Consider the following 25150-nt stretch of genomic DNA (forward strand, 5'->3'; position numbering starts at 1 on the left):
GTGACCCCCCAAATTTTCACATTTCGAAAGAACTTGGTTTGTTCTCTCTTGGTTCTACTACTTTACCAAATGAGAATAAACACAAGGGTTAACAATATAAGAAACAATATCTAATATATGTGTAGATAACATATATTTGGAAGAAGTGGAATTATAAGAAGGGCATGTTGAAGACAGCCAAATTCATGGAAGTGGTCAGTAGCTGAACCCATGTGCTTTATTAAGAGATGTTCTCTTCTTTCCCCTTTCTTAATGTTTCTGTTTCAGTTGTTTGTTCAATATTTTGTTGGCAGATTCAACTTCATTCTTCTCTATTTTTTTTTTTTCCTTTTTGAGATGGAATCTCACTTTCTTGCCCAGGCTGGAGTGCAGTGTTTCTATCTCAGCTCCCTGCAAACTCTGCCTCCTGGGTTAAAGCAATTCTCCTGCCTCAGGCTCCCAAGTAGCTGGGACTATAGGCACATGCCACCACACCCAGCTAATTTTTGTATTTTTAGTAGAGATGGGGTTGTACCATGTTGCCCAGGCTGGTTTTGAACTTCTGACCTCAGGTGATTTGCCTGCCTCGGCCTCCTTCCCAAAGTGCTGGGATTACAGGCGTGAGCCACCGCGCCCAGCCCATCCTCCTTTTAAATATATATATTTTATTATCTTATTATTTATTCTTTCCTTTTAAAGATTTTCTCTAGAAAATGTTAACCATCTCCATATTTTGAACCTTTATAATTTATTTCTCACTAATTTGTATCTCCAAAAATGATTTCCCTGTTGATGCCTAGTTGATGCCTAACATTAGATTTTTAACTGTCTCATAGATATTTCTTCTTGGATATTTTATAGTAGATCAAATTCATTACATGACTAGATGATTTCTAATCAAGAATAGGAATTTCTAAGGCAGAGATAAAGTTAGGAAGTTATCTCTACTTTGGTACGTTGACATTTTGGACAGATAATTCTTTGTTGTGGGAACCTGACCTAGGCATTGTAGAATATTTAGTATATTCTTCAGTGTATTAGTATTGGCCACAATTTAGCCAATATACTTGGCCTCTACCTGCTACATTCTACTAGCGCTCTTCCCCCACTTGCGATAATCAAAAATGTCTCCAGACACTGCCGAATATCCTTCATGCATGAAAATCACCCTTAGGCGGGAATCCCTGATCATGATGACATAGAACTTTATTCAGAAAGTAACACAAATAGAGATGAAGTAATAAAATTAAGAGGCATTTTGGAGGAAGACTCAGTAAGGTTAATGGTGTATATAGGAAATTAAAAATAAGGAAGAATCTCAAGTTGTTTTCTAGGTTGCTCATTAAAAATTTCCTAAAATTTCTTGTATTTTTAAATGTTTATCTTCTATGCTTCTCTTCATACTATTTCCTTTATGTAGATTTGTTTCCCCTTCCTGTATATGCTTAATAAAGTTCTATTTATGTTTAAGGCCTAAATTATCTATTAGTCATCATCATTGTGACTATTTCCCCAGCCTGAAACTCTAACACTGTCAGAATATTTTCTTTCTTTTTTAAGCCATTAGATATCATTTGTTGTGATAAGTTTATTCCCCATGTCTTTAATGATAGAACCTTGTGTCACCTTATACATCCTTTCACAACATATCACACTGCATGGCATACAATAAGTGCTTAAAAATGGTGAGTGATTTACTTAGCAATTAGACACAGGATAGTAACATTTTTTTCAGAATGTACAGTTACTATCATCACAGGTATTCAACATACATTAACATTAGTATTAATTTTGAAATAATATGCTGACTACAGTCTCCATGTATTTTTTCAAACATTTTTTGAATAGACAAAGTAAAATATAGATGTAAATTATAATTTTATTATCACAAAGTATTTGATATTCAGAATGGTTATACTTTTGTGTATGGAAACTAGAAGTTTATCAAGTAACTCAATAACCATCTCATATTAAACACAATACATGGTCAAAAATGACTTTGAGGAAGGTAAGTGATTCTCTAAGAGACAGAAATCCTGTTTGACATGAACTATTATCATTTTCTTAAAGTTATCTGTTAGATCAGGGAACGTGGGCTTAGACTCAGAAAAGATTGAAATATTAAGAGGGTCTGTTTTAAGCCTAAAATTTCAATCTATAAATATTCTTTTCAATTGTCTAGAAAATATATGAGGGGTTATAATTATACTTTAGAAAAGTCTTTATAAAATTAAGTTCAACATTGTAATAAAAATATTATACTCAGAATAAAGAATTAAAATGAACTTTGAAAGCCTATGTATTTCAAAGTAACTGTTAGAAAATTTTGTATGTATGTATCTTAATCAAGTGAATTGTATTGCTCAATCTCTTAAACACCATCCCTACTAGGTTACTGTAAATTATTTCACTAAGATTGAACTTCTTTAATAAAAAAAAATTATGCTTTTCACTTGTAGGAGAGTGCAATGGTATTTTGAGACTGCGTAATTTATTCTAAGAGTCTAAATTTTTAGTTTATAAATAACTCTTGCATTTTTAAAATTTAAAACACAAATGTGATTTTTATTGTGCCATCAAACAGAATTCTGGATTATCAATATATATCAAGTGGTAGAAGATTTTACATTGTTTAAATACCAGAATTAATTTAAGAAAAATAAAAATCTGGATATTTAGATGTCTATTTTGTTTGCAAGACCTCAAAAAAAACTAACTTGGACATTTATACAGAATTGGAAAAATGAAATGATATAATGATCTTTTGTAGGAAAAAAGCCTTCTATTTGGTACTCAGACACATTATTTAAAATAATCAGATAATAGAAAATGAAACAGTATATATTTGCGTTAATGGTTAAAAAATACTTTTCTCTTGCCAGTTAAGCAGAAACATATTCCATTATGCAAATGTACTTTTTGTTTTCTGTACTCTATTCATCTGCCTCCACATAAAACTCATTAGGTAAAGTTAAACATACAGATTTTAAAATCAGTCATAGTATTTTTATCTCTGCTATGGCAAATCTAAAAGCTGGCCTGCCTTATAATCACCCTCTTCCACTTTTTACATTTCACTTTACCACATATTTGATATTTGTCATCTCTAAACTACCGGGAGTCACCAGTTGATAGTTTATTTTTAATTAAGATTGCAGTGCTTATTGTTTGATTTAAGTTTGAATTTCTTCTTTAGTAATTAACCCTTGCAAGGGAAAGCAAGTTTCATATCTATTGAAGCAGCCATTTTCTCAGTTTTGTGCCAAGGTTTATATATTTAAAATGAAAATTACATGAGTTTTTTTTTTTTATTTCTAGAGAAAGTTCTCACACTAAAAACAAAACAAAACAAAACAAAAAACAGAAAAAGTTTATGCTATGTGAAATTTAACCTCCTTTGTTAATCACACTTAATGAGACTTGCAACAACAATTCCACAAAATTGGTTGTTGTATACTTTTTTAGTGATCCAAAGTTTTCACTAAATGTTGACTTTTCAGGATTCATAGCTGGAACTTTGACTATTTCTACAAAACAATCATAAATCAATAGCACGTTATTTATTGATATTTGACTAAAATATTACTATGATTATAAGAATAATATTGTTAATTATATACTAAATCGCATTTAAAATAACCTTATATTGGGGCAATATCACCACTTGATATTTATATTATTAAAGGTGTAAATAAATTCATCTAAAAACCTCTGTACTGGGACATCACTCAATGTCCAAAACATTATAGGAGGCACTTTAAGTAATATATTATTCATTTGATCCATTTGTGAGTTATTATTAGTGACTTTATAAAAATCCCACTTAGTAAGACCTAGTATGTTGAAAGAACGAGATTTTGAAAATACTTTCAGACAGAAGCAATTTCAAGGGCATATCTGTGCAGTCACATGGTGTCCCACACTCAGAAGGGCTTTGTGTCTGAACTTACAATTCACCCCAAATATATACATATATTTTTCTCTAGGTTTCTTTACTTCTTCATATGGGTTTGATTTTTAAAATACATTATGTTTCCTAGGTCTTGAAATAGCTTTAAAAATAAAATCTGGGTTTTCAAAAATTGTGGACAATGCTTTCAAAGAACAGATTTTCCTTTATATATATATTTAAATTTACTCTGTTAAAATAAAATAAACAATTCCTTTCCACCATAGGAAAGGTGGGCAAAATCATGACTTGGGGCCAAATCCAACTATGCCAATCCATTTACCTATTGTTTACAGCAGGGGTGAGTAGTTGTAACAAAGACCATGTGGTCTGCAAAGCCTAAAATACGTATTATCTGGTCACAGAATAAGTGTTCTGACCCTGATTCCTCCATTAGAGCATAATAAATATTCTTTTTTGTGTATAGGTGAATACTAGGTGGGAATTTTATTTATTGCAGGACACTGACAAAACAGGGAGAAGTCAGCCATACGACTTACAAAACATTAACACTTTATATTTTTACTGAGTTAATTAGTGGCCCCTAAAAACTCATGCCCACCCGGAACCTGTGAATGTAAACTTATTTGGAAATAGGATTATTATAGATGTAATCAAGTTCATATATAGTCATATTAAACTAGTGCAGCCACAAAATCCATTATTGAACTTAAGACATTGGATACTAGATAATTTCCTTTCCCTAATAAGGGAGAAATTTGGACATAGGCACACACACAGATGAAAGATGATGTGAATATACAGAGAAGGAAGATGATGTGAAGAGATGAAGACATGAAGACACAAGGGAGAAGACTACTTGATAAAGAAAGTAGAGATTTCAGTGCCAGGTCTACAAAATGAGGAATGAAGGTAGAAGATCAAGGAGGCATTCATTCCCAGAGCCTTTGTGGGGATCATGGTCCCACAGAAAGCTTGATTTTGGACTTGTAGCCTCCATAACTGTGAGAGAGTATGTTTCTGTGACTTTTGGTCACCCAATTGTGGCACGTTGTTATGACAGCCCCAGCAAAAGAACAGTATTTTAAATAATGTTGATGAATTGTTTAAATATATTAAAGCTATTAAACATTTTCTAACATTTTCTTGATTTAAAGTAGAAGACTTATGGTTATTAGTATTATAGCAGAAGCCTTATACTCTAAATAGGCTTTTACCGTATGGCAATGTTACAAAATACATAAATACTTTATTTCTTTTGACAAAATAAATTGTATTGCATTTTAATTATAAATTATGACTTAATTATTCAACATATTCCTCAAAGGTAAGATAGGTTATATGAAGGTTTATCTTAATATTCATTTAATAAAAGACCAATCATTATTATGATTCTTAAGAGCATACAAATTAAAGTTATGGTAGAAAGTGTAGCTTAATTTCTTCTTTTTATTACTTATCTCTGTTAATTTTATAACCATTAAATCATGTAAAGCAATTATTGCCAATCATCACAACCCAAGAGCAATAACTGTTTTATTTCTTAATTAAATACTTATTTAGTGCACTTCATTTCAAGTGTTACCAAATACTTATTAATTTCTTGTTAGGAATAAACTTATTTGTAATTCAGTAGGACAGCTTGGATATCTAAACTACCGGGGATTTTGAAAAAAATAATTTTGTGAAAATTACATAATCAAAGAAAAACATGAAAGCATGGGTAACTATGACATACACTGAGTACCCATTTTTTTTGTAGCAATTTATTACTTTTACTTACTCATAAGCTTTCCTGGTACATTCCAGGATGCTCTACATATTTTAGTGCTATTAGATACCACTGAACTTGTGCTGCCACATTTATCACTGTGTAATTTGTAGATCCAAGTGCTGTTTTCAGAATCCCAAACAACATTTATTAAATTTGCTAAGTAATTATATTTACTCATGATAATTTCAATTCCACAGTGAGAATCAGTACAGGTGTGACTAGCAGTTATATTTCTTCATGCACAGAGCCCCTGCTGTACATAAAGCATCCAGTAGTAATTTTCTTTAATTCACTTAATTGCTTGGGGCTTCCTGAGCCACTCTTTTCCCCTAATTTGATGCTTTCCGTTGTGTTTCATAGAAAACCGAATAGGCTGAAGTGGGGCCACTTATAATTACAAGAATTGAAATACAAGCACACTTGTGTCTAATATAGTCTTGGAGTCAACCCTGCAGCATTTACATGGGTATCTATGTGATACAAACAATTTGAGAAACTCTAATAGCCCAGAAGCAGAGAGGGAAACAAGGAAAGGAAAGAAATGCAAAATAAGACAGATGTTTGCTGTTCTTAAAATGATTATGAAGTTTACTTCTAATATAATGATACTAAAATCCAAACCAATCTTGTGACAATTCTCTTTTTTACTGTTTCCGGATTTAAAATTATATTCATGTGTTTTCCAAAGATACGTTATTAATGTACGTTCAAGTGTTATTGCACTTCTTGGAGTACATCAAACATATTGTGTTTGTGTGTGTGTGTGTGCGTGTGTGTGTGTATGTGTTTCTACTGACCTTACCTGTGCACATTCTGCTTCATCTAACTAAAGTGCAAGGGAGCAGATTTATTTTGTGCTTTTAGGTACACTCAGTTTTTGTTGCACGTGTTTTAAACAAATGAACAATTTGATGGGTGAATAGTGCTTTTAGTACCTTTAAAATGCTAAATAATGATCACTAAAAGCTCTTGCAATGTAATATTTTAGCTTTCAGCATCACAATTAAATAATAATTAGTTAATGAGTTCAGTTCACTGCACTTGTGCAGTATATAAAAAGGTAAACTAATGTTTTAAAGTGTTTAAAGAAACAGAACTCTTCATATACTCTGCAAAAATTTCATTCAATGAAACATAATTGAAGAAGCAGTTTGCTTTTGGAAAGCTCAATTACCATAGAAAGTAAAATGCTATTACTGAAGAAACAGTTTTCCCTAGAACAAAGCAAATGGCTATACAATTTGAAATCTAACTTGCACCTGCATGAGTGAGAGATAACTTTTGATTCCATTAATCTCTGTCACTCTTAGCAACATTGTGGGTATTGTGTACAATTTGAGGAAAGCAACATTGGCTAATGTAAATGGAAGACACCTGTGTAATAAAAGCATTTTGTTCCATTTATGTTTTTAACTATGATATTTAGATGATGAGCCTGAATTTACCAGGAAGCTGTCCACGCCCAGAGGAATGTCTAAACATACTACCTCTATATTATTATTGGAATAGCTGAAAAATTACTCTGGTCCAACAAAAGAGATGCTCTTCTATTAATTTAAATGGGTTTGTTCTTAAGATTTTGAAGATTTAATCCATTGAGAACTGACTTAAATAGAAAAACTTCTTGCCCGGAAAAAACATAAACATCACAAAATCTCCATGTTAATTTGGGAGGAGGCACATATTTCCTAAAGCTGTCCTTGAGAATTGACAGATTCTAGGAAAAGATGCCTTATTCAAATAGCTACCCCACTAACAAAGCTATTTGTCACTGTGTCTCTAGCACACTGCACTGTTACCTCATATACAGATTTTACTCTGTTACGGCTCAGAAAACGTTACCCCAAAGTATGGCACTTGGGCATGTTGAGTACTTTGAAATAAAGGAAATAGAAGCCTCAGAAGCAAAGTCTGTCTGACCGTCTCCTGTACTCCTATCTCCTGCTGCCTTTCTCTCCCTGAAGTGATTCATACAAACCAAGGTTTGTCTTCCTCAAAGCAGGTTACATAAGCTAGAACTACCTTCCCCCACAAAAAGCCATAAAACCTGGACAAGCCACACTCATCCTTCTCCCTTGACCACCCTTATTTCCTCCAGGTTTGTTGCCCCAGGTATGGAGCAAGAGGTGTCTTGCCTCATATTTGGAAATAATGAATGCTACACAGAGAGACAAAGAAGTATCTGAACAAACAGACCTTGCAGGTACAGTTCAATTTTTACTAAATTAATAAATCTAATGTTCTATTACCACTAGATAATCCCCTTTTGTCCAATTAGATTTTTTACATGGCTACCCATTTTTCATCTAACCTAAGCATAAAACAACACTTTTCCCTGTGTCCTTGGGCCTTCATTTCTGAAATCTCACGTCACATAAATATTTGATTAAATAAATTTGTTATGCTTTTCTCTTGTTAATATGTCTTTTGTTATAGGAGTGTTGGCCGTGACACCTATGATGGGTGAGGAAAGGTATCACAAGTTTTCACCCTTACAACTCTTCTTGAGCCTTCAAATCACCCACTGCTTAGATAGTTTCTTTTGATATGGTTAGCATATGGTCGTAACAAAACTCTTTCTATTCCCAATTGGCACTAAAAACAACAACAACAATACATATATTCTATTAAATATTTTACCAATAATATTTGATATTTTACAATAAATTTTCTTCTAAATATGATACACTTTATACATTATTTCATTGTTTCACATTTAGGAACATTTTTGTAAATAATTATGTAAATCTCTGATTACTCTTAGTGCATATTCTTAGTTCTGAAATTACTTGGTCAAAAAGTGTGAATGTGATAAAATTCTTGAAACACATTAAGTTGCTCTCTACAAGATCATAACAATTTATATTCTTACCAATGTTGACAAAAAGAGCCAAAATCTGTAAAATAGTTGAAGAGATTGATTGTTAGCCAAGTATGAGTGAGCAATGGCCTATAGCACAGCCCTCAAGAGATCCTAAGAAAATGTGCCTATGGTTGTTGGGACACAAATTGGTTTTATACATTTTAGGGAGGACAAAAGACATCAATCAATACATGTAGGATGTACATTGGTTCACTCCAGAAAGGCATGACAACTGGCTTCCAAGTCACAGTTAGATTCAAAGATTTTCTGATTGGCAATTTGTAGGAAGAATTAAGTTATTATATAAAGACTTAGAATCAATAGAAAGGAATTGTCTGGGTTAAGTTAAAGGGTTGTAGAGACCAAGGTTTTATTATGCAGACAAAGCCTCCAGGTAGCAGGCTTCAGAGAATATTGTAAATGTTTCCTATCAGACTCAGAGTCTGTTCTATCAGCAATTCCAAAACAGAGGAGGGTATAATGAGACACGGCTGGCTTCCCATTCCCATCATGGCCTCAACTAGTTTTTCAGGTTAACTTTGGAATGCTCTTGCCTGAGAGGACAGGGTCTATTCAGGTGGCTAAGGGGCTTCAGAATTTTACTTTTGGTTTATACCAGTGATTTGGGACTCTCAGGGCTCAGGGTACATCTGAGCCTAACTCTCATATGACTGTTGGAGAGCAGAATGTGCCACTGCAAAGTAGATTCGTTTGGTATATTTTCAGCTGGCTATCCTGAAAAACTGCAGACAAAGGAGTAGCTCTGAAAACTGTCCTTTTGTAATCTATAAAGAAAATCTACTGAAGAAAATAAAAATATTTTATGCTGTACTAGTTTGTTTTTACAGTGCTATAAACAACTGCCTGAGATTGGGTTATTTATAAAGAAGAGAGTTTTAATTGACTCACAGCTCCACATGCCTGGGGAGGCCTCAGGAAATTTACAATCACGGTGGAAGGTGAAGGAAAAGCAAGCACCTTCTTCTTCACAAGGGGGCAGAAAAAGAGACAGCAAGGGGGAAACTGCCACATATTTTTAAACCATCAGATCTCATGAGAACTCCCTCACTATCACAAGAACTGCATGGGGGAAACCTCACCATGATTCGATCACCTCCAGCCAGGTCCCTCCCTCAACACGCAGGGATTACAATTCAAGATGAGATTTGAGTTGGGACACAGACCTGAAGGATATCATACCCCAAAATATGGTTATTTGGCATACATGGAGATGGCTGTTCAGAGAGCCAGCAAACAGATGTAGCCTTACAAAGCTGTCTTTTGTGTCAGGGATTTGCATCTGTGGACAATCTGCATTGATGTAGCCTGGACTTCCCTTTCCTGGATCTAGCAAAGAGTAACTGAGAGTCTGACAGCTTTAAAGGCCTGAAAGAAATATATACCATCTATTCTATCTGAGGGCAGCTACATGCAAGGTTTCATTTACATTACAAGGTCACCTTTGCTAGCCAAGCCTCCACTTCTCTTCCATCCATAACCTGCCTTGCTACTATAACTTGATTTACCACCATGACCTGTTTTTGCCTGGGCTCTGAGTCCCCATTCTATCTGTAACCTCAAGGTGGTATATAAGCTTCTATACTCCACTAGGGGTTTGGGTAATCACTCCGGATCTCTCCATGTGCACCTTAATAAATAAGATGGCTTTTCTCTTATTAATCTTTCTTTTGTGAGTTGAATTTTCAGTGAAGCTTCCAAGGGTGAAGGGGAAGTTTTCTCCTTGCCTCTTCACTGCTTTAGTAAAAGTACTTAATACAGATGTCCAATACAGGAAGATAGCTCCTCTGAGACAATTTTATTACCTGAGAGATTTTTGATCTGCAGAACAAGACAACATTTATTTACCATACATCTCCACCCCTCACCCTTATAACTTGTCTTCACCAACCTTCAGAAATCCCAAGCCTCAATATTTTTCTATAGCTCAGAATGCTATATAAGCATCAATCATCTGGCTTTTCACTGAATCTCATATTTCTGTTGGACTCCTGTGCATGTACATAGTTAACTATAGTTTTTTTGTTGGTAATCTGTTTTATGATCATTTAATTTGTAGTCTAATGAAATAATCTAGGAAGGTAAAGGGAAGCCACTTTTTCCTCAATGATAATGAAAAGTCCATTTCAATATGTCATCAATAACTCAACAACATAAAGTTTATCCATTGAAAAAAACAATAAAAAATAGCATTTATTGTGATCATCCTATGAAAGTCATTTCCCGTGAAACAGCCCATATAAAGGGGTTATTGGCAAACCCCCAACCAAACTGCACACTGGGATTGGTGTGCACTGTGGTGGAGCCTCAGGAAGTTTGTGCCATTTGCAGCAGGGAAGAGCCTGGCTCCTCCTCTTCCTGGGTAGAACCTGGTATTCAATCTGCAAGGCAGGAAGTGAACAGCAGGGACTCTGGATTTGTGGAGGGTCCCTTTTCCCCTTTTTTCCCAATAAATCCCATTTTCCTCACCCTTCAAATTGTCTGCAAGACAAATTTTTCATGGCCATGTGACAAGGATCCCATCTTTAACTGAACTGAAGAGAGAATCCTGTAACACAGAGACCCTTAATCACAAAACAGATAATAGGCCAAGTCAGTGACTCATGCCTATAATCCCAGCACTTTGGGAGGCCAGTGCTGGTGGACTGCTGGAGTTCAGGAGTTCGAGACCAGTCTGGGCAACATGGAGAGACCCCATCTCTACAAAAAATATAAAAACTAGCAAGCATGGTGGCACACACCTGTAGCCCAAGACACTTGGAAGGCTGAGGTGGGAGCATGGCTTGAGCCCAGGAGGTAGAGGTTGCAGTGAGCCAAAATCACTCCACTGCACTCCAGCCTGAGTGACAGAGTGAAACTGTATCTCAAAACAACAAAAACAAAATCCACAGGTAATAGATTTTATAACAACTACAGGGTAAATGAAAAATCAATTTGATATGACTACTTTTTTGATAACTATTGTCAAATCAAAAATTGCACTGGATAAAGTTAAATAGACAAGGAATACTTTATTCAAAGCCACTGCAGTAGGCGATAGAGGCCAGAACTCACTCTGAACTCAACTCAGATGAAACAAGAAGTGGGAGAGTTTTTATATACTAGGGTAAGCCAGTGAAAACGTCTTGCAAGATGTTGCAAGAAAACGTCTTGCAAGATCTGTGGGATGTATGGATCACATTTAGTTATTCCTGAGTTTTCAAATGTTTTTCTTTGAGATTATGTCATCTGTGTTTGCTAATTGGTACCCATTGATGTTAGGAGTCTGCCCTCCCAAGGAGATTGGAAAGTGGGGTGATATCTCCTCAAATACTTACATTTCAAAGAGATGGTTCCCAGATCCTTTAGGAAGACATTCCTAAATTCTAAACTGGCAAAATGCTTTTAACAAGATTTACATCTCAAAGGGGCGAAGAGATAATATGGAATGATAAGTGTTCTAATGTAAATGTTCTAAGAAAAGAGAGGTCAGAGGCCTAGAATAAGAAGAATCCTGTCTAAAGATTAGTCAAGCTGAGGGGAATATTAACATCCTCTTGATTTCTTGCAATAATAGTTGAAGGTACAGCATTAATGTCAGAGGCACATGAACCAGGACAACTCCATCTTGAATAGGAGCTGTGTAAAATGAGGCTGAAACCTACTGGGCTGCATTCCCAGACAATTAAGGCAGTCTAAGTCACAGGATGACATAAGAGCTTGGCACAAAGTACAGGTCATAAATCCTTGCTAATACAGGTTGCAATAAAGGAGCCAGACAAAACCCACCAAAACCAAAATGGCGATGAGGGCGACCTCTGGTCGTCCTCACTGCTACACTCCCACCAGCACCATGACAGTTTACAAATTCCATTGCAATGTCAGGAAGTTACCCTATATGGTCTAAAAAGGGGAGGCATGAATAATCCACCCCTTGTTTAGCATATCATCAAGAAGTAACAGTAAAAATGGGCAACCAGCAGACCTCAGGGCTGCTCTGCCTATAGATTAGCCATTCTTTTATTCCTTTACTTACTTAATAAACCTGCTTTCACTTTTCACTTTGGACTTGCCCTGAATTCTTTCTTGCATGAGATCCAAGAACCCTCTCGTAGGGTCTGGATTGGGACCCTATTCCTATAACATATTTCTGGTGACCACAGAAGGGACTATAATGCAAAAACCCTGACCCAACGGCCACCTTTGGGTAAGTGTGGTAATACTTTAAGAAATTAAGCCAAACTAGCAAAGAATTTGCCTTTATGATGGAAGAAATGATATGTCATTGAAATTTAGATTAGGTAAAGGTTTAGACTTACTTCCTTTAATATCACATTTATGAGGGAATCTTTGCTGCAGCATGGTTTAGAAATTATACTTTTTGCTAAGGCTCTTGTTTCGTGTTTCTATTTGAATGATCATTAGCCTTTGGGACTCAGATGTTTGAACACAGAGAAACATGGGGAAAGATATACGGAAGTCTTTTCTGAGCTGGATTTTTAAGTTCAAGAGAACCTCTAAGTGACAACCTAGACCTAGATCAGGAAATATTCTCAGACAATTTATACGTGTTGGATCTGGATGTTCGGATAGATCCTAGTTACAGAATGTGTTTCTGAGATCTGAACTCCAGGAAAGGCATTCTAATAAGAGATGCCAGTTATTTTAAAATGAATATATTACAGATTCTGTTCTCATGTAGTTTACAATCTAGCAAAAGTGATAAGTTGTGCATATAAATGCACTCAAGAAGCAGATGATCTACAGATATTACATATAGATATGTATTTATTGATAAGTTTAACATTTTAATAATCTATTTTTCTTATTGCCATCTATTAAACTCATTAACTTTCCTTTCACTTTTTTCTGCAAACCTTACTATGTTTCAGAGTAATTGCTTTTCTGTGAATATTCTATTGCTCTTCTCCTCAAGGGAAAACATTCTGTTGTCTATTCATATGTTTTTGTCTTTTCCTTCAGTTAATTTACTGAGCTCTAGCTACTATTTGCTCTCAAGGTGAACTTCCTGCATTTATTATTAAAAAGTGACATCATGTAAGAGTTCAATTCTCTAGGTTATAAAAGACACAGGTACTCTGTTATTATGATGTAAATGTATTATACCCTATGGCAAAAGTAAATGCTTTCTTCTTCCCCAAAGAAGATTGCTGCAAACGTTTTCTGGTTTTATTTATTATCAGTTTTTTAACCTATTACTGCATTTCAGTCCATATTAAAATATGCAAAGGAATAACGTTCTTGTCTCATGGTTTATTTCTTGTGTTTTTTTTTCTTAATCACTTCCAATAACGTCATTAAATAATTCTATTAATTTACACTTAAGAAAAAAACAAACTGGCACAATAGATATGATTCCAGCTCTTCCATTACCAATAGTCTAGTGAAATTCATTGTAATGCCTGCAGCATGAAACATTTATGATTAATATCAAATTTACTTAAAAATTATATATCATTTGTTAGGTTATGTGAGATTTCCTGGCCTCGTCAGAGACTTTAGTATTGGCCAGGCGCAATGAGGAGAGAAGTGGATTTGGAGAGACAGCAAGCCAAGACAAGTCAGCTTGCCTCTTCCTGTGCTAAGCAAGAGAAATTGGCTGTCACTGCAGTAAGCATAAGCCTGGCTAAAGGCAAACCATATAATTATGTGATGGAGGTGACTTTTCTCTGTCTCCTGCCAAATAAAGAATGATACTAGCTCCCTCCAAACACAAAAGGAAGAGTGAAGCCGAAAAAGCACCAGACAAATGTTAATGCTTTCAAGTCAAGAACTCCTTTGAAAAATCTCTCCTACAGGGGGAAAAGTAAACAAAAGAATACACATTCACATTTTTTCTACCATTTTTGCAGCTGAACAGACCCTTGCTTGCAGCAGCAATTTATGGACCCCAAGTTAAAACTTTTTTCATATAAGAAAATAAAATGTTAGAAAGGAAAACCTTACGTTTTCTACCCCAGGTCTAGATCTCTAGTGAAAGCATGAGAAAAGACTGAAAGAAAGAAACTGACTTTCTTTCATTTCATCTTGGATGGAATTTTACTGAGTCACAGTCAATTGACACTTTTTAAAAATCCTTAAATTCATTTGTTAATAAAATAATTCAGAAAAAGTATAACAAAGTCAGATTGTTAATTTCACATACTTTAAACAATTTTGCTTGCTAGAATTTAGAAATTAAAGGTGCAAACCCATTTGCACTTAACCTCAGCTAGGGTTTAGGCTGCTCTTATCTATCCAAACTGACTTTCTGCATGAGAGGAATTAGATTACACATCTCATGTGCTTGCATCATGCATACGTTAGGCAGAGAAGCCACTTGCTTATTTTAAACAATAGAGGCATGCACCCCATAACGACTTTTCAGTCTAAATGACAGACTGCATATACAACAGTGGTCTGATAAGATTATAATAGTGTAGTTTTAGGTACCTTTTCTATGTTTAAATATGTTTAGATACACAAATACCACTGTGCTAAAATTGCCTACAGTATTCAGTTCAGTAACATGTTGCACAGGTTTGTAGTCTAGGGGAATAGGCTATGCCATATAGCCTAGGTATGTTAGTAGGCTATACCATTTAGGTTTGTATAAGTATACCCAATGATGGTTGCACAATGACAAAATCACCTAATGGAGCAATTTATTTATTTATTTATTTATTTTATTTATTATTTATTTATTTATTTATTTATTTATTTATTTATTTATTTTTGAGATGGAGTCTCGCTCTGTCGCCCAGGCTGGAGTGTAGTGGTGCGATCTCGGCTCACTGCAAGCTCCACCTCCTGGGTTCACGCCATTCTCCTGCCTCAGCCTCCCCAGTAGCTGGGACTACAGGCACCCGCCACCACGCCTGGCTAATTTTTTTTGTATTTTCAGTAGAGACGGGGTTTTACCATGTTAGCCAGGATGGTCTCGATCTCCTGACCTCTTGATCCGCCTGCCTCGGCCTCCCAAAGTGTTGGGATTACAGGCGTGAGCCACCACACCCGGCCCTTATTTATTTATTTTTTGAGACGGAGTCTTGCTCTGTAGCCAGGTTGGAGTGCAGTGGCACGATCTCGGCTCACTGCAACCTCTGTCTCCTGGGTTCAAGAGATTTCCCTGCCTCAGCCTCCTGAGTAGCTGGGACTACAGGCGTGCGCCACCACGCCCAGCTAATTTTTGTATTTTTAGTAGAGACAGGGTTTCACCATGTCGAATGGCACAATTTTTAGAATGTATCCCCTTAGTTAAGTAGTGCATGCCTATATATTCTATATCGTATATATTATTTTTTAAAGCTTGTTTACAACTCATTATTTATGTGATAGTACCAGAGAAGAAGTCTTATCATTATAGTTTCTTCTTGGCTTCTTTATGCAGAAGACTATATGTGCTAAGAAGAAAACTTTTAATATACGATTAAAAATATCCTGTATATAAGATCTATAGTCATTTTGAATACATAAATTCTGAAAAAAAATTATAAAATACAACCGATTTCTTTGGTCATGTAAAGTGGAAACATGGCTTATTAAATGAAAACTCCATAACAGAAAGGAAGCTCTCCCACTTGGAGTGATTTTTGATGCTGATGCCATTAATGATCTTCCAATAACTAACACTAATTATCTTGGCATTAAGTTTCTGGCTTACTCAGAAATAAAAGCTTATGATCCCTTAGGGATATGGACTCGACAGAGGAGTTCAACTCCACAGCAGCTGAGCGGGCAGAATATGTCAGAATGTCAGACTGTGAATTTGATGTAAGAATGTTAAGAGAGGGAGATCACCAGTCTTTGTGATTTTGTGGCCATTAAGTCACATTTAGTATGAGAACTGATTTCACAAATTACATACGACACTCAGAAATACATTCACTAAAAAAAGGAAGACACATCCCTCTATCAGATTAATGTTTCTCAACTTCATTTTTAAAAATACATTTACCTTTTCCTAGGAGCATTCATGAACATTTCTTTTTCCAAGTCATTGCCTTCCATTAAATTTTAATACCACAGTTATACTGTGTATTTATTTACTATATTTATATCCATACTTTATACATAAAATAGTATAATCTTATTATTATTATTATTTTACGTAGCCAGTTTTGGTCCCTGAGGGACAATATAACTCCCATTACTCAACTGTTGCTTGACAGAAAGAAAAATTATTCCATAGAGGAGTAATACTTTTTTCTTTAGATTCTAGATACCCACTCTTTTCTTCACTTTTTCTTAGCTAAGGATAACTTTTATTGAAAATCTATTTCTCAAAGAAATCATTTCTAGTTAAACACAATATAGTTACTGTAAAGTGGGTAGTTTGACCACTAACTGTGCATTGAAAATCGCTAATTCTATACCTGTAGCTTAGAATCTGGTTAATTCTATATCTTTATTCTAGAATTTTGCCGTATACTTTAGTGAACGCTAAACATTTCTACCTGAAGGACCCTCAGCTACCTTAAGGCAAAATGTGCACTGTACTTCTTCTTTCATAGAAAATTGATCTTTGTCAAAACTACTTCTTCTCATTTATCCACCACTTCTATTTGTCCTATATGTATACTGACTCCAGGTTTGTAATCTCTGAAATTTATTATGATTTCTTATATTTATTCTTTGCTCATCATTTACACAATGCCTGTGTTATATCGACTCTCCTCCTCCCATATATACATTACTGAATTATTCTGTTATCTCTCTGACTTCAGTTTTGACTATGAACTCAGTCATCTTCACTGTTTCTTGGATAATTTCAGTAATACAGAAATCTATTTATATGATTCCTCTTTTTTGAAATGACTCCCCATTTCTCAAGAAACAGTGTTAAACCTCTTTAGCTGAACATATGGACCTGACCCTGGTCTGACATATCCAGTTTTATATTTAACCACTTCTATGCAATTTCAAAGCAATATTAAATTAATTATGTCAATTTCTGCAATTACTCCATGTAGTTATACTTTTCTGAGGCTTTGTATATGACTGCCAACCCCCCAGCCTTCTTAAGTGAGCCTTCTCAACCTTCAAAGTCCAGTTCATGCTGTACTTCTATGAAGACTTCCTCTACTCTCTAAGTGGCGTTTAAGCTCAAATTGTGCTACTTTGTTATTTAACAGTGACTTCAACTATAACAATTATAATATTTGTCAAATATTTTTATGTCTGCCTCAATTATGCTTGATTGCAAGAAAATTTTAATTCATTTTTATATCTACATCAGGTGGTCCAACTCAATGTTTACTCACATAATAAATGAATTAGATAATGAATAAATGAATTAATAAATGTATTATCAATAAATGAATGAAAAAATTCGGAGGAGGAAATATGGCTAGAATGAAGGAATTTAACAACCACCACCACCAAAACAATATCAAAATAGCAAAAAGTCACTAAGCAATTTAAATAAAATTATTCCTATACCAATAAAATGCAAAGCAATTTTATATTCCCTCTCTAAGTTAATATACTATCTGGGCTTTCAAAAAAAGGCATACTATTCTAGTCAGTGATAAATGAATTATGCTTTCTTAGTGAGTGATACAGTAACCTTGTAAATGTTTGAATCCATAAGCCAATGAGCCTTTTCACAAAATGTAACAGTGTGTTTGCTAGTGTGCTGATATTGTTATCATATGCTTATATGTACTTATAAAAAAAGTACTTTAAAAAATGAAATGCCCCAAAAGATGTACTGTAAATATTCAAGTAAAATAAAAGTATGTTCTGTTTTCTAGAGTGAATTTCAGTATCTCATGCTATCCCAAATATAAATGAGGCAATTTTCTATAAAATCAATTATTAATCCTACCAATTATATATAAAATACCAAAATGTCTGATATCAACATTATCTATTTAAACTAAAATAAGTAACTCATTCAACTAAAAGGATTTGCATTTATACTTGAAGCCTGTTGCTGGAGTACTTGGCCCAAGGATTTGTTATTTCTCTTTTTTTTCCCCTTAGTCAAAGTCTGTCTTAAACATATTCCCCAACTAAGCCTCATTTTGATAGTTATGAGACATTTTGACTATTCTTTTGAAAATAAAAAAGTATCCAGTGCCTGTCAAATCTCTAAAGCTTTAGTCTGATGTGAGTTTTAAAAAAGAACTGAATTTTTAGTTGTACAGATGATTAATGAGAGAAGACTGTGCACTGAAACACAAAGAAGGAGGTTAATGGGCCATACACACTTAACTGGAATATTATGGAGGAACTGGAAAATGTCACATATTAAACAGGTGCAGCATTAATCCAAGCTTCCCTGAAAGTTTTTCACATAGAACCTTTTAGGTAATAAAAGAAAAATAGAAGGTATAAATTGAAATAGATAAAATTTAAAAATAAGTAAGATTAGTGATACAAGGAAAAGAAGAAAACTTCCATTGGTAGTAGTATATATGCATAGTTTTGTCTAGCTAGATAATGTAAGGGGATCAACTGTTATTTGTATCATCTGTTCCTCTGTCAGATCTGAATTCAGAGCAAGGAAAAAATTTGAAAAAATAAAAACAATTATGTGAGCACACTATGCAGTTTGTGGTCTAATTTTATTAAATTATTTGTATTCAATCCGAATGTCAAAATTTCTCGCTTGACCAAATTGCTAGTCTACACATCAAGCATGCTTGCATCATTATCTATACCACCTTGTCTTATTTTGTTGAGATTTAATATCTCGATGCTAATTATCCTTATTTCATGCTTCTCCTCTTCTGAAAGTTCATGTCTTCTCTCAATTCATGTCCTATTTTTGTTGTCCACATCTTTCCTGTTCTATTTTGAGAAGTGAATACAACAGAAATGAATGTGGTCAAATATCAAGACAAATTTCAAAGCAGAAAAAACCTGAGGTGTAAACAATTTATTATACTTGATATAGATTCATTTTTTTAATGTGTTTCATGTATTTGGACTATTTCTCCCAATTATTTTCTTGTTACGACTGCATGTGAAACTTTCAAGCTGTAGCTTATTTTTAAAAATATTGAACCAAATGTATTTTCTTCTGGAATACCTTGGCTTACTTTATCCACTTTCAATAAAAAAATAGTCTGATTTAATATGCAGCAAGCTATCATGGGACGTATGGTTGAGTTGTTTGTGGAAAGGGTTAACCAAAATCATCAATGTATGTAAGGATGAAAATGTATCCAAGGAAAAACAGGAAGATTGTCAGTAATTAGGCAGCCCAGGGTTGATTTCCTTCCTGTACCAAACAATCTAGATGATTTCTAAAATCTCCACAGCAAATGTGAACAAAATTATGAGGCAGAAAAAAAAAATAAGAAATAATTAGACAAACACATCTGCTAGTGACTGCCAGATAAAGTACCTTAAAGAAGTTGGGAGGAACTGTAGTCACATGTATACTTAACTTTGAAATTTTAAAATATGAAAAAATACTTCTATGAAAAATAGAAAATGAATGCATCATTGTATTAACTAAATAGAGTCAATTATATTGAGTTTCATTTTCCCTATTGATTACCTACCGAGTTAAATTGCTTCCAGTTTTACAGTATTTCATACTGCCATTCCTAGACTCATATCTGGACTGTTTCACAGTATCGACTTTAGAGAATATAGAGGGATAATCTTGGAAACAGAGAAACAACATTGTTCATTGATTTTAAAATCATATATATATGATTATATATATGATTATATATGATATGTATGATATATATGATAATATATATCATATATATATACACACAAATAGTCAAAAAGTCATTTTAGCCAAAATGAATTCCATGTCAATAAAAATAAAATAACGAAATGATACCATCAATCAAAAAGAGATGAGAAAATGGAGGAAATGAATATTGGAAAATAGAGTCACTGACTTAATTGTTGGATTTCTAGTGAAGCAGGTAAAGAAATTAAATTATCTTCGGTAGAGTTATCCTACCTAGGGCCACATGTCTTTAACCTGGCACCAACAAAGTACTAAAACCATATAACAAAACATTCTTTTATTAATTCCATGTTTATCAAATGATTTTCTGGTATACATTTGGGTCCTCATATAACTTTGTCTATCTAGAAAGAACACTTTTGTTAACTTAAAAGGAATATTTCAGTTCCTACAGCATTTCTTTATATTAACTGGTTTAAACACCAATCTCCGTTAGTTAATGTTAGTATACCCCTAACAAAAACTGGATTAATAATCAGGTATCTGGGCAGGAAATGCTGTGCCTCAGGGTCTACTAGCAGTGAATGAGTAAGGAAATGATTCTTTGTGTCTTTCTGTAGTAAGGCAGTCATAGCTTCTGTTTTACAAAGCATAATTATAGCTACCAATATTTTGGAGCCATAGATCATCAGTAAAAGGCTATATTTGTGTGCATAATATTTGATATAAAAAGTTAAGGCTTCCAGTCTTATTTTATTTTCTGTTATGATAACTTTTCTAATTACATGGTATTATATTTTCAGATATGAGCACACACAATGAAAACAATTAAAAAAACAAAATTACCATTCACAGTTTGCCTTCTTTTCATCAAATTGGTCTCATGTCATATAAACGTAGTTTATTTTAGAGATGCAGTGTTCCTTTGTATTCATAGCATCATCACTCAAGATGGTAATTATTATGGTGAACATTTGGGTCATTAGACTGACTTATAGTTTAACAGATTGCTGGGAAATTGGATCTTATCCTTAAGCTCCAATGTCTGTATGGGCCTGATAATGTTGAAAATTCAGTCCTCATTGTACCTAACCTTAGGAAATGAATAAATGACTATTTGGAGTCCTGGCTCCCTTTGTGCTTTTATATTCCTGAGGGCATGGTTTTACAATACTTCATAGAATATGTCAAAGACTAATTGTGAAATATTTGGATGTAAGTTGATTTGGATGTCCCTGATTACACAACATCTGCATGTAAGATAATATACTATTTTCAATTATGATTTTCTCAAGTTCTCAAAATACAGGATTGACTTTTAACTGGAACTATTTCTGTGTGCTGGCATAATACCATTTGTGGTATTTTCTTATATTTATTCTGTATATTAAAAAGGGATATTAATTAACTAAAAGGGTTTTTGTGCTTACTTTAGACAATAAAGAAATTTATTATGAAAGTTTACTCATAAATATGCTGGAGAGTCATTTCATAATAAAGTATGACATTATTTTATTTATGTCTCCCCAAGGGTAAAGATCATTCAAGCAGAACTATCTCCTGTATCAGTATTTATTCACCTAAATAGACTGTTTTGGTTAAAATTTTAATGAAAAGTCATGCTTACATTACTGTATAATTTTGTATATGCATGGGTATTTATCTGTTTAAAGTAGAGTAGAGATGTAGTTGACATGAATGGATGTCTGCCTAGTTCACAAAAGTATGACCATGAAAATAAAATATCATTTCTATGATACTCCCTTATTAGGGAGCTATATCCCTTTCTCACTTCAACCTTGAAACTGTAATGTCAGAGATTACAGTATCTACTTCCCTGTGCAGTACTTTTTGATCCAAGTAACAGATCCATGATCTGAGAATAGTCAAAGTGCATCTAGATTTTTCAAGAGTTGGAGAGTGCAAAGGTTTCACTTCTGATGGTATATGTTGTAAGAATCAGTCTGTATCTGTCAGTGCCAAATTAAGTAAGATGGAATAAGAATAAAGCTGATGCTCAGAGAAGGGGGAATGAGAGTTAGAGGTAGTATTGACTATTTAAAATCCGTCCTGAGGTCAGACCCACAAATGCATTTTCTGTTATTTTATTTCAATACTGATAAAACCTTCTTTTTATGGTTAGTTCAAATTAGTTCATTTTTTTCAATTTCAATTGAAATAACAGGTGTAAAAAACCACAAAAGTACCCCATTTCCCCTTGCAAATGTATTGTTCTGAAGCTAGACTGATATTGAAATACTTGAGGTCAACCTAAAATGATACTATTTTACTCATGCTTTCATTTTTAGTATATTTTCCTTAGATTTTACAAGAGGTAAAAACATCTACTATAGATGTGTTAATTTTTGAGATTGCTTTTAGTCTTGATATCTGGTGTGTGTGTGGCTGGGACAGTGGAACATGATGGAAAGACTGAAAATGATACAATTCCAAAAAGCTGTTTTTACAGTTTGAAGCCTAGCCTCAGAGTAAAATCCCAATACTATCATGCAAAAAATTACTAGATTTGCACCAAGTATGAATAGGTTGGAAAACTAAAAAGGCCTATGAGGCCCTATAAGAAGAATCTTATTAGTGTTTAATAAAGGTAAAGGTAAAGTACAACAGAAATAAAATGCAGGAAATCATTGAAAGTCTGTCTTTCAGGAACAGAGCCTTTCTCCCTAAAGGTCCTTTCTCAGTCTCACAGACACATTTTATCTGTATATTACGAACCTTCAGGATTTGAGCTTACTATAATAATTTAAGGGAAGTGCAGAAAAGTCTTTATAGCAGTCTCTCTCATACATTGTTGGTCATATACATCTCAAGCTAAGTTGTGTAAACCATCAAACTAAACATTCTCAATGATATAGACCAGTTGGCACTAAACTTAAAGCAACATATTATGAATCACTAACTAGCACATGCCATTTTCATCTTGCTCACGGGTCAGTGTTATGCTTCCAATGCATCTCTAGATATAAATATCAAGCTGTTCCAGTCCAACTGTAAGAGAGTCCTCTCTTATGTAGCCATACATTAACATATATGAGAATATAAAATGTGTTGAGGAAAAAGTATCAAAGGATTGAGAAATCTACATTAATTTTAAAAAGAATGAACTAAGAGAAGCCCAGGCCATATTTAATGTCATCAAAGATAATTCTAGTGCTTTGGCATTATTTTTTCACATGCTTTTTCTTTCTTTTCCCCTTGACTGATTTTCTCCTAACTAGCTTTAATCAATTTTATAGAATTATAATTTGCATATAGGGCACACATTTTAGTCCAGTTCAGTTTTACAAATTTATAAAGCTAGATAATCACCTATACAATCAAATATAGAATATTCCCTTCACCTACACATTTATTGCATGACCTTTGTCAATGAAATTCCCCACTTCAACCCCAGAAAAGTTTAAGGCATTCTGTCTTTATATAATTTCAAATTTTATCTACATGGAGGCATACAGTATTTATTATTTATTATCCGCCTTCTTTCCTCTAGTATATGATAAAACTTCACCTTTTTTTTTTTTTTTTGTATAAAGGAATGACAATCCTTCAATTGTAAAAACTAAAGAACACGCCACCCAACTAATCACATGTCTTAGGGTATATTTCTGAAAAATAAGATATATATTTTAAAAGCAACTTTATTAAAACTCGGGGCTATTAAAGTATATATACAAATACAACACTAGAAAATAAAGTTATGTTTCCAGGCCGGGCGCCGTGGCTCACACCTGTAATCCCAGCACTATGGGAGGCCGAAGTGGGCGGATCACGAGGTCAGGAGATCGAGACCTTCCTGGCTAACAGGGTGAAACCCCGTCTCTAATAAAAATACAAAAAAAAAGTCTTAGCTGGGCGTAGTGGCGGGTGCCTGTAGTCCCAGCTACTCGGGAGGCTGAGGCAGGAGAATGGCATGGACCCGGGAGGCGGAGCTTGCAGTGAGCTGAGATCGCGCCACTGCATTCCAGCCTGGGCAACAAAGTGAGACTCTGTCTCAAAAAAAAAAAAAAGAAAAGAAAAGAAAAGAAAGTTATGTTTCCAGAGGTCTTTTTGTCCATTCTTCTCAATCCAAAAATGAAAAGAGAAACTACTGTCAATAAGTATTCGCCATGTTATGTTTTAAGCATTAGTTCAAGTGGACTTGTTTTTAACTCCGAATTTAGAGTTAGATTCCATATAATCTTTGCTACTGAAGATTGACTTGGTCGTGATTATAAAGGTTTCATTAGTCAATTCAGAGTATGGCTATATTTCTTACTCTTTTTATCTTCTTGATATTATACCACCTAGGTTGGGTTATATAAATGTGAATTCAACATACAGCCAAGTATAATCCCTTTCTCTTCGGCAGTACTAACTCAAGCCTATCTGTCTGAAGTATGTGTCTCTTTGTTTTTGTAACTTCAAATTTTCTTGTTCTTTTTAGTAAGATTCTGAAGGGTCATATGCTACTTGATGAAGCACCAGTGTTTCGTTGACCTGGTGCATTTATTTTATTTTAATCTGGAATTTTTATGTCATGTGTATATTGTTATTTTATTGCAAGTGTGACAAGCAATCCTAATATCAGCTTTCACTTAACTTCTTTTATAGAAGATACTGAAATTAATTAACATATATTTATGATATAATTAGCAACAGCTTGTGAGAAGGGTCATAGAGTACATTATAGCTACTGGGAAACCACTGCTATGGAGTTATTTTACAGAGAAGGGGAAATGGTTTTTGCTCGGAGATGAACTTGCAAAATGTGTATATGACACAATTACCAGGTAATGAACTTGCAAAATGTATATGCTACACAATTACCCATGACAAATGGCATTCAATAGAGTGTAGCAATCTTTTTGGGGGATTGAGGGGACAGGGTCTTGCTCTGTTGTCCAGGCTGGATTGCAGTGGTGCAATGTCAGCTCACTGCAGCCTCCATCTCCCAGGCTCAAGTGA

General features: G+C 34.2%; 1 long non-coding RNA gene across 1 annotated transcript in view, besides 1 other annotated feature; it reads right to left on the reverse strand.

The window, feature by feature from the left end:
• The window catches only part of LOC101928622 (uncharacterized), a 143555-nt gene that overhangs the window by 87965 nt on the left and 30440 nt on the right, over window positions 1-25150 (reverse strand). The gene's annotated exons all lie outside the window — the stretch shown is intronic.
• Window positions 11665-12166: an enhancer, noted in NCBI's record as "NANOG hESC enhancer chr4:33997590-33998091 (GRCh37/hg19 assembly coordinates)". NCBI's record gives its function as "activates a minimal SCP1, AML or CMV promoter by ChIP-STARR-seq in naive H9 embryonic stem cells {active_cell/tissue: H9 hESC(naive)}" and the evidence as "EXISTENCE:reporter gene assay evidence [ECO:0000049][PMID:30033119]".

Source organism: Homo sapiens, chromosome 4, assembly GCF_000001405.40.
Source record: "Homo sapiens chromosome 4, GRCh38.p14 Primary Assembly".
Taxonomy (NCBI): domain Eukaryota; kingdom Metazoa; phylum Chordata; class Mammalia; order Primates; family Hominidae; genus Homo; species Homo sapiens.